The following is a 12,000-nucleotide window of genomic DNA, read 5'->3' as shown; positions in this document are numbered from 1 at the left end:
TTACCATGCTGAGGAGCTGAGGCCCCAAGCCTACAGCCATGGGAGGGACTCATGGTGGCATCGAGCCTCCAGAGGGCTACAGCCCCAGCTGACATCCTGCCTGCAGTCTCCCAAGAGGCCCTGAGCCTGAATCACCAGCTGAGCCACTCCCAAATTTTTGACCCACAGTAATTGACAGATACTAAATGTAGGTTCTTTAAAATAACCAAGTCCTACAGTGATTTTTTTTACACAGCAATAGAATGTTCACTCTTGAAAGTCCCTCTCTGACATGCAAATAATCCCCTGAAATCTAACTGTTTAGCAAAGCAGAAAGGCCATAGGAAAAATAGTAATAAAAAAAACAGAGGGACAAATCCTTCCCTTCCTTAGCCCTAGAGTATAAATGATTAAGCATCGCAATTGCAGGGTTCTTTATGCTTTATACAGTAAAAAAATAAAAAATAAAAATAAAATTAAAAAAAGGAAGTCCTTCTCTTGGAGAGAGAATCATACTCTTACTGAGCATTTACTCCCTGCTAGACCGTGCACCAAATATTGTATGAAATGTTTCTTTTCATGACAACACTATCACGTAGGCAAAGGTACACCCATCTTAGGGTGAGAAAACCGAGTCTAGGTGATGCCAAGAAACACACCCAAATATCATAGCTCTCCATCTCTGGGCCTGATTGCAAGCTCATGACTCTTACCAAAAATCTCAAGGGTTCGATTTCTTTGCTTGACGGTTGCACTTGGCTTATTTGCCCACAGGAGAGCAGAGACTGGATCTGCCTTGCATGTCACTTCATCCTCAGTGCCCAAATAAGATGGGAGGCATCAACATGCCTGACAGAATGGATTCATGGCACAGATAAGTGGTGGAAACAGAGCTGGCACTACACGACCTTCTCCAGCCAAGGGTTTTCCTACTCTTGAAATTATACCCAGATGATAGCTAGGTTTGTTAGCAAAGTAATAAGTGGAATTAGATGCAAACAGAATCCAGTAGCAAGGAGCACTCAAGATAAACGGAAGTAGCTGAGTTCAAGAGCCGTGCTCTGGTGGGCAGGTGACCATCAGCACCAGGTCTCCTGGGTAAAAGCTCATTGTGTCGGTGAGGTGTGCCTGCAAGGAATGGACCCTGGATACCTCCTTTCAGCCATGCTGAGCTAATCCTGGGGATGTAGTGAGGAGCAGGAGGGAAGGAGGGGTGAAAGCAAGAGCTGCTTCTCTCTCAGGAGAAGTCTTCCCACCTGTGTCTTCCCACACCCTGTCGCCACTCCCCGCCATGCTCTCTGTCAAGGACTCTTCCTTTCCCCGTCTTCCCCATCAACATTACATTAGGGTTTTCAGAGGCTCTAAGGACAGAGAAGACGATGGTGTCCCTACCTGATTTATAATTCAAATTAAATCCCTCTAATAAACTGTAAGGTATAAAACATCCAACAAAGAGCTCTGATGTTTTTTCAGAAGACTCACCTTGATGCATTTTTGAAAATTCTAAGATCTTTTATTTTTTTCAACAAGTGCTTATAGCATAATGACAGCTAACACATCAATGGGCACTATTTTAAGTCCTCACATATATTAACTCAGGGCATGCTCCTGACAGCTTAGGAAATGGGGGTTATTATTTGCATTTTCAGATGTAGAAACCAAGGCACAGAGAGGTTAAACAACCCGGTGAGTGGCAGAGCCGTGACCAGACCCCGGCAGCCCTGCTGTGGGGGGTGTGTTCTTCATCACTGCACTGGGCTCACTGCCCTCCCCTGGCCTCCCTCTCCCCCACCCTCCCTTCCTTTCCAATCAGGATTGGAAACTGAAACACTATTTAAAATGTGAGAAGTCAGAAGTTTGAATTACTCAGGAGATCCAGGAGGGCATCCTCCGAGCGTCCACTGTCCAACAGCAGTGAAGGCACCAGGGGATGCTCGACTGCTTCCTTCTGTCTCCTGGAATCTCCTTCCTCATAAGACATGGGCTCAGCACACATTGATTGAGGGCCTCCTCTGTGCCAGCAACTGTGCTAGGTGCTTCACTACAACAAGATCCCTGTTCTCCAGGTGGTATTGAAGGGTGAAGATAGTGCAACAATCATCACCAGTCATGAGACAGATGTCTCAGGTGACCCCTGTGGGCCTAGAGGATTTACATCTCTAGAGGAACCAGTGCATGGTTATCCTCCTGTCTTAGGAGCAGTGGGCAAAGGACAGCCCAGAAGCAAACACTAGACACAAAGGGAATGTTTTGTGCTCAGGAGCTGATGGACAACTCTGGTGAAGACTAGTCATCAACACTGGACAGGGAAAGGTGGGTCCTGCCACACAGAAACCAACTCCTCATGTATTACATCCTAAAAGGAAACACATCACTTGGAAGTTGCATTTTACCCCAATCATCCAGGGCAGACCACCCAGCTGCCAGCTACGGCAGCCTGATGGACAGATGTTTCTGGCATTCAGAGCTATGGAAGAGAGGTGTGAGAGCAGTTGGCAGAGAAGACTTGAGGTACCCCACGGGAAAGGGGACACTATGAAAGACTTTAAAAACGCACATACAAAGAATGATGATGCTCCTCATTAAGATTTGTTTAATTCAAGGTGGTTTGGATTTGGTAAGCCTTTGCACTCTGTAGAGTACTTAGAAGACCAGGGCAGCTTACTTGGAGTTAGAGCCAAGGCATCAGACAGTGCCCAACACACATTAATGTTAGCTTCTTTCTGAGGAAAAAATACCTCTTCCAGGCCCTGAAACAAAAAATACATTTGCTGTGAAGATTGAAAATGAAAAAGTTAGAAAAAAAAAACAGCAAAGTCAGTGATTTAGTCAGATGAGTTTTTTTTTGTAGGAGCACTTGATTTCTAGTGTGTTTTGTATAGTATATAACTACAAGATAGTACATTTTGTAGCAGTTCAAAGCCAAAGTTGCTAGCATCATTTTGCTGTTTTGCCAGTTAATCATAGGATCCCATTAAATAAGTGCTCTAGTATCTATTGTAGAGAAAACTGTTTGGTAAAGAACATTCCAGTAGGAAAAGAAAAGAACAATCTTCCATTTCTGGGTTTGGCCACCATCACTCTGGTCGGACCTGTCCTGGGCTTCCAACCTTGACTGCTGAGCTCCTGGCTTAGCTTCTTGGGTCCCTAATTCCTGGTGTTTAATAACTCTCTCCAGGATCATGTTTTTCTGATTTTTTTCAGAAATTATGTTTTTTAAAAGACAAAAACAAAGAGAAGAATATTTAATTACTGAGCAGAAGTAAATACTATTGGTATTTTGTACATAATCTAATTTTTATATGCATGTTCGTGCTTTTTAATTTTTTTATAAAAAATGAAGTCATCACCTACTACTTGTAACCAGCTTGTTTCATAACATGTTATTTTCCTGTGTCATTAAATAATTACCTCAATGTTGTAAAAAAACAAAAAACAAAAAAACTAACAAAAAAACTCCACTAAGGCTCCTTGTCACTGACAGGATTGAAACACTGCCACTGCTTATGGCAACTGGTGACTTTGAGTTCCTTTCAAACTCTCAGGTTCTGTTTAAATAAGTGAAATTCTGACTCTCTGCCTGGCTAAGGATGCTGAAGATGCATTTTTGGAGGGCAAATCAACTTAGCCAAACACTAAAAGAAGAGTAAAGATTTGGGACATGGGGATGGCCAAGAGAAGAGGGAGAGGGCGAGTGGAGTGTTGCAAGTGGAGGTCTACGCTGGGGAGCATGGGCCACATTTAGGAAACAGGTGTTCAGGATGAGACAAGGGCACATGTCCACACAACACCACCATCACTTGCCCTAACATGGCTCCATTCTAGGGGATTTTCTCAGCAAACACTTCTGCACATGAGTAGCCACTGTCCATGCAAGTGAATAGCCAGAAGCACAGGAGTCACATCTGCCAGCTCCTTCTCATTCAGCCCCCAGACTACAACTCCAAGACCTTTGCATCCTAGCTCTGAGGTGTCACAGGAATGCATCCACCCCTCCCCTTGCCACTGCCACCATCATTCCCTTCCCAACAGAATTCAAACTGGTCCCCTGCCTACTCCAATCCACTGTCCCGGCAGGAGCCAAGAGGTTTTCCATTCATGTACCTGACTATGTCCTTCTCCTGCAGAAACTTCCCTGTCTCTCTTTGCTTGTGAGATCTGAGATGCTGCCAGGATATCCTGGGTGGTGGGGGTGAGAGGGATGAGTAATGCAACATAGTTGGCAGGAGGTTCTGCAGAGAGTGCTGCTGTGATGGGGAAAACTTTCTTACTCCTATCATGGGTGGGGGATCTCTACTGCTGGCAATTAGGGAGTTAAGTTAGGAAGGAGAGATAAGGTCCCACCTCCCAGCCTTTTTGGCCCTGCCTCACTTGGGATGCTTAGAGTGAAATGCACGATTTCCTGTCATTGCACTCTCCTCCTAGGCCTACCCTCCAGCACAGAGTCATCTTCTTCCACCCCCAGCCTGCAGGCTTTGGCCTCTCCCACCCCACTCTCCACAGCTCCTGGAGAAGTCCCTCATCCTTCGTGGCAGGCTCGTCTTCACTGTCACAGCCTCAGCTGAGCTTTCAGTGGCCTCCTGGCTGCACCAGACCCTGACTTATTTGCAGTGGTAGCACCTGCCCTTTCTTCTTCTCTGCAGCTCTTTTCTCAGTTTAATTTCACTGTTATGGGTGTATTTTTAAATTAATGCCCTTTGGCCAGGCACTTTGGCTTATACCTGTAATCCCAGCACTTTGGAAGGCCAAGAAAGGAGGATTGCTTGAGCCCAGGAGTTTGAGACCAGCCTGGGCAACACTGTGTTGAAAAAAAAAAAAACCCTCGGCCAGGTGCGGTGGCTCACACCTGTAATCCCAGCACTTTAGGAGGCCAAGGTGGGCAGATCACAAGTTCAGGAGATTCAGACCATCCTGACCAACATAGTGAAACCCCAACTCTACTAAAAATACAAAAATTAGCTGGGCATGGTGGCATGTGCCTGTCATTCCAGCTACTCGGGATGCTGAGGCAGGAGAATCACTTGAACCAGGAAGTCGGAGGTTGCAGTGAGCCGAGATCGCGCCACTGCACTCACTGCACTCCAGCCTAGCGACAGAGCCAAGACTCCGTCTCAAAAAAAAAAAAAAGCCCCCACTGGACTCTACACACTGCAAAGGTAGGAACGAGGTTCACCTGGTTCATAAGTACAAGGCCAAGCCCAGGGAGAGCTGAAGATGGGGCAGGTGATCAGGCATATATTCTGGAACATCCTGGAGGGTCATTGTTGAGTGCCAGGGCCTTGACATGACCACACATGACATATGGCATCAGGGGAAGACAGGGGTTCTGTCACGAGCACCCTTGGAACTTCTCTCTCCATAGCTCAGGCTTGGAGGAAGAGGTTGCTGTTGTGCCTGGGTTGGGGGCCACAGCTCTCTGGAATCTAAGAATAGGGCAGAGCAGAAGGGCACCCTGTCATTAACAATGGTACCATCTTAGTGCTGGCTCATGGTAAAGCAAGTGAAAACAATCTAAATCACAGGCCAATTTGCCATGCATTAAAAAGTGGGATGCGGCCGGGAGCAGTGGCTCACGCCTGTAATCCCAGCACTTTGGGAGGCCGAGGCGGGCATATCATGAGGTCAAGAGATTGAGACCAGCCTGGCCAATGTGGTGAAACCCCGTCTCTACTAAAAATACACACATTAGCTGGGTGTGGTGGCATGTGCCTGCAGTCCCAGCTACTTGGGAGGCTGAGGCAGGAGAATCACTTGAACCCAGGAGGCGGAAGATTGCGCCACTGCAATCCAGCCTGGTGACAGAGTGAGACTCCGTCTAAAAAAAAAAAAAAAAACAAAGAAGTGGGATGCAGGCCATAGAAGTGAAAGATGTAGCTATAGGATGGAGGCATGGCCCCGGTCTCAGGCTGGAGACAGTGAAGACTTGATAATCTAACCTGTACCATTGTTCAGTGCCAGGGCCATTTCAACGGCCAATAAGCTCTCCTTCTACATCGTCACTTAAGCTGTAATTTGGGGATGTATTCCTTTTGTTTGAACTTTTAAAAGGAAAAATAACATAAATTAGGATATAAATTTTAGAAGCTGTGAACTTCATCCAGGGTTGATAAGGGCTTTAAATGAGTATGTGAGGAAGGCATTGCTGTTTTCGAGAGGAGAAAACTAAAGCTTAAGGAACTTAAGAGACCTCCCAGCTGCGGACCTGGTAGCTGGTAGGACAAGGACTCACCCCGTCGCGACATCCAGGACAGAGCACATGTGTGCACAGCAGGGTCAGCTGCCGCCCTGTGCTGACATCGAGGAGCCTGCAGTCCAGAGAAGGACACCAGAGGAGGCAGAGTTACTGACACTTCTGGCCTGGTGGTTCTCTGTGGGGAGCTGGAGGGTGGGGTTACTATCCTGGGAATTGTATGATTTTTAGCCGCATTCCTGGTCTCTATTCATTAGATGCTTTCACCTCCAATTGTGACAATCAAAAATGTTTCCAGACATTGCCTAAGTCCCCTGACAGAGGGGAGGAAAATGTATGCAAAAATCCTACCCCACTGCGGGAGACAAAGGAGATGTAAGTAGGAACAAACCTCCAGGGTTTTCTGCAAAATGGTCCCTGCTTATGCTCCTTGATACAGCTGTTTTGAGCTTATGATGGTGCAAATTTTAACTCAAAATTTGAGCTTTCCACAACTTACTGAATGTTGAAGTGAAGAAACATGATTTTGGGTAAAGAGAGCTATAAAAAGGAAACATTATTTTTCTATATCTAGAACCAATGTCCTAGGGAGTCCTCCATGCTTTCAAGAATTCAGCTTAACAAACTCTTCCCTGGGGCTTCTTCCCATAAGATGACCATACAGAAGTACTCAAGTGCATTTTTTATGAATCATGCCTGCAAATGGTTATGAGTTTAATGTCCATCTCTTCTGGAAAATAAAAAGTTCATGAAGGCAAGAATAGGTCTGCCTGGTTCATCTTCATATAGCCCAGGTCTAACCTGGGTCCTAGCATTTCTTAGCACCCCAATAAATATTGTTGAATAAATTTTTGTATATTAATCCTTACAAAATATTTCAGAAATTATCAGGGTAATGTGCATATTATGTATCCTTAATAATTAAAAATAAAAATATTTGAAAAAATAAAAAATTGAAGTCAGATACAGTGGCTCATGCCTGTAATCCCAGCATTTTGGGAGGCCAAGGCGGGCAGATCACTAGAGGTCAGGAGTTTGACACCAGTCTGGCCAACATGGTGAAACCCCATCTCTACTAAAAATTATAAAAATTAGCCAGGCATGGTAGCACACACCTGTGGTCCCAGCTACTTGGGAGGCTGAGGCAGGAGAATCAGTTGAACCCAGGGGACGGAGGTTAGAGTGAGCCAAAACTGCGGCACTGTACTCTAGTATAGGCGACAGAGCAAGACTCCATCTCAAAAAATAATAATAATTTTAAAAAATTAAAAATTGAATGTCTTCATTACCCAGGGCAACAGATAAGATGTCTGGGAAGGGATGCATCTCTTCTTCTGTAGGCATTAGCCACAAACTCCCAGTCATCTTGGTAATATCAGGTTGGATGTCTAAAGCTACAGGAAAAATACTAGAACTTTCAGAACCAACACAAGAACTTAACAGAAAACCTGAAAGAAACCACCCACCCTTTGACAGAAGCAATGGGCAGCAGCCTACAGTGTGAACCAGGCGAAAAAATAACACAGTGCTCAGAAAGGAGAAATCTTTTGCACAACCTCAGCTATCGCCGTCATCTGCATTACCCTGGCTAACTGGGAGATCTGGAGTCTGTCTAAGTGCCCAGTACATTAGGACTACAGCTGGCATTTGAGAAAGCTAACACACTAAGTCTATTTATAACCAAGAAAGTCTCACAAAGTCGATGCCACACCCCTCCCACTCCATTAGAACTGGTGCTGGTCCCCACTGCTGGGAGACTAGAGAACAGTTCTCATCACTGGATCCCTGGGAGACATTTCCAGCACCAGCCTGGAGGGTGGCGGCCCAACTGGGTGGCTAGACCCAGGGACAGCAGGGTTCACAGTGGTATGGCCCTCAGGGACTGCTACTTCCAGGGGTAGAGGGAGTGAAGGACAATAAGGGAGCACTCCCTGGGACAAAAGTAACCAGACTGCAGGCCTTGGGTCCCTGAACTTCCTGCCTGTGGGAAGTTTCTTTCAGCAGAGGCACAGGTGCAGTGCTGAGCTCAGTGGGGAAAGTCTGCAGCTCTACAACAGTCAGGCAGCCCTGGTGCTCATGAAGGGTCTTGGATAAGGGGGCTTCTTCTCCCTTTTGCCCACCACTACAGACACAGCTGGGGCTTCTCTCATGAGACCTCCATACGGGTGTGTTCATAGACAGCCTTTCTGAAAAGCTTCAGGGTGACTGTGTCTTCACAGAAGGAGTGCCCTCCAGGTTCAGGCTTCTATGAGAGGTGGAGTCATAATCCCTCTCTACATGGAACATCAGCATTCCTGCAGATGAAAAGAGGTGCTTGTTTGATCTGAATAGCTGGAACTCTGGATCAGGAGTGACTGGGACATGGATTACTTTTCTGCTGGCCTGGAAGGAGCTATGGTGGCACCCTCCCTTCCCCCTGAAAACACCCTGGTACATTTTACTAAGAGGTTACACAGCTGCTTTGTCAAGGCTAGGAGGTCTGCCCACCATTGGGCTACTGCATTTATCCACCTTCTTTAGCCACAGCCAGGTTTTACCCATGGACACCTATCACTGACCTAAAGTCTGAATTGTTCAACCCAGTGATTAAAACACTGGGGCAAAAAAAAATTTTAAGTACATACCACTGGGGAACAAGATATGCTTCATGAAACGTCTTCCATTCCAGCCCATAGGAGGCAGTGAACCTCCTCACATACCCAGCACATTGCTACTACAACCAGCATCTGAGGAAGCAATTGCACAAAGATTCTCTATAACCAAGGAACTCTTACAGAGCCTTCATCACTGAAAACACCCAGATCCAAAGCTAAGTGACAATAAACGGTAAACATTAAAGTCACATCCCCAAGGGGAAAAATAAGAAATTAATTTTTGAAAACCCAGTCAAATAAAAAATAAATATTCAAAATAATTAGAAGAAATAATCTACCCAAATGAGAAGGAGTGAGAAAAATAATTCTGGCAAAAAAAAAAAAAAAAAAAAAAAAAAAAAACAGCGTTCTATAACGCCCACAAAAGATCACACTAATTCTCCAGCAGTGGATCCAAACAAGATGAAATCTGAGAAATACCACATAAAGAATTCAAAATGTTGCTTATTAAGTTACTCAAGGAGATACAAGAGAAAAGTGAAAACCAATATAAATAAATTGTTTAAAATAATTCAGGTTATACATGAAAATTTTTCTGAGATAGATATTTTAAAGAGAAACCAATCAGAATTTCCAGAAATGAAAGACAGATTTAGGGAACTACGAAATGCAGTGGAAAGTTTTAACAACAGACTAGACAAAGTAGAGGAAAGAAGTTTTGAGCTGGAAGACAAGGTTTTCAAATTAACCTAATCAGACAAAATTTAAAAAGAATGAAAAGAAATGAGCAAAGTCTCCAAGAAATGTGGGATTGTGGATGGGCACGGTGGCTCACGCTTTTAATCCTAGCACTTTGGGATGCTGAGGTGGGCAGATCACAAAGTCAAGAGATTGAGACCACCCTGGCCTACATTATGAAACCTCGTCTCTACTAAAATACAAAAATTACCTGGGTGTGGTGGCACATGCCTGTAGAATCAGCTGCTACGGAGGCTAAGCCAGGAGAATCGCTTGAACCCAGGAGACGGAGGTTGGAGTGAGCCGAGATCGTGCCACTGTGCTCCACCTGGCGAAAGAGCGAGACTCTGTCTCAAAAAAAAAAAAAGAAAGAAAGAAAGAAAGAAAGAAATGTGGGATTGTGTAAAATGGCCAAAATTAAGAGTCACAGGTTTTTATGAAGAAGAAAAAACAAAAAGTTTGGAAAACATATTTTGAGTGAATAATTGAGGAAAACTTCCCTAGCCTTGCTAGAGATTTAGACATTCACATACTAGTAGTTCAAAGAACTCCTGAGAGATTTATTGCAAATAGAATATCACCCAAGCATGTAGTCATCAAGCCATCTAAAGTCAACATGAACGGAAGAATTCTAAGAGCAGTGAGAAAAAAGCGTTAGGTCACCTATAAAGGAAAACCTACCAGACTAACAGAAGACTTCTCATCAGAAACCTTACAAGCCATAAGGGATGGGGGTCCTATCTTTAATCTCCTTAAACAGAAGAACTGTCATTCAAGAATTTTGTATCCAGCAAAACTATGTTTCATAAATGAAGGAGAAATAGTCTTTCTCTAACAAGCAAATGCTGAGGAATTTTTGTCAATACTAGACCAAACCTATAAAAAATGCTGAAAGGAGTACTACATTTTGTAACAAAATGTTGATATGCAGCAGAGTAGAAACTTCTGAAAGCATAAAATTCACAAGGCTTATAAAACTATAAGACAATGAAGAAAACAAAGTCACTAGGTAACAATCAACACTGTGACTAAAATAGTTCCTCACATCTCAATATTAACGTTGAATTCAAATGATCTAAATGCTCTACTTAAAAGATACAGACTGGTGGAATGGATAAAAAAAACCACACACCAAATATCTATTGTCTTCAGGAGGCAGACCTAACATGTAAGGATTCTTACAGCCTCAAGGTAAAGGGGTGGAATAAGACATTTCATGCAAATGGAAATCAAAAGTGAAAAAGAGTAGCTATTCTTATATCAGATAAAGCAGACTTTAAAGCAGTAACTGTGAAAAAAGAAAAAGAAGGTCATTATATAATGACAAAAGGATCAATCCAACAAGAAGATACAAATGCTGCTAACTCTGGAGCTCCCAAACTCATAAAACAATTACTACCAGACATAAGAAAAGAGATAGACAGCAACACAACAATGGTGGGGGGCTTCAACAATCCACTGACAGCACTACACAGATCATTGAGGCAGAAAGTCAACAAAGAAACACTGAACTTAAACTGCACTCTAGAACAAATGGACCTAACAGGTGTATACAGAACATTCTTCTCATCAACACATGGAAAATTCTTCAACATAGACCATATAATAGGCCACAAAACAAGTCTCAATACATTTTTAAAAAGTGAAATCATATCAAATATCTTCCCAGGCCACAGAGGAATAAAACTAGAAATGAATTCTAGGAACCCTCTAAACTGTAGAAATACATGGAAATCGAGCAATATGCTCCCAAATGATTTTTGGGTTAAGAATGAAATCAAGACAGAAGTTAAAATTTTTTTTGAAATTAAAACAGTGACACAAGATATCAAAACCTCTGGGATACAACAAAAACAGGGCTAAGAGGAAAGTTTATAGTGCTAAACATCTGCATCCAAAAGTCTGAAAACTCACAGATTCACAAACCAAGATCACACCTCAAGGAAGTAGAGAAACAAGAATAAATCAAACCCAAAGCTAGCAGAAGAAATGATAAAAATCAGAGCAGAACTAAATGAAATTGAAACCGAAATCAACGCAAAAGATCAATGAAACAAAAAGTTGGTTTTTGAAAAGATAAACAAAATTGATAGACCACTACCTAGATTAACTAAGAAAAGGAGAAAGAAGATTCAAATAAGCTTAACTAGAAGTTAAAATGGCAACATTACAACTGACACCCCAGAAATACTAAAAATCGTTCAAGACTTTTATGAACACAGCTATGTACACAAACTAGAAAATCTAGATGAAATGGATAAATTTCTGGAAATATACCATGCCTTTAGCTTGAATCAGAGAAAAAGAAATAGAAATCCTGAATAGACCAATAACAAGCAGTGAGATTGAATCAGTAATAACAATAATAATAATAATAAAAACTACCAACAAAAAAGTCCAAGGCCAGATGGATTCACAGCCAATTTCTAGCAGGCATTCAGATAATTGATACCAATTCTACTGAACCTATTCCAAAAAGTTGAGGAGGGAATCCTCTGT

The sequence above is a fragment of the Homo sapiens genome, chromosome 20, assembly GCF_000001405.40.
Source record: "Homo sapiens chromosome 20, GRCh38.p14 Primary Assembly".
Classification (NCBI taxonomy): domain Eukaryota; kingdom Metazoa; phylum Chordata; class Mammalia; order Primates; family Hominidae; genus Homo; species Homo sapiens.
Note: the sequence above shows the minus strand (reverse complement) of the source record.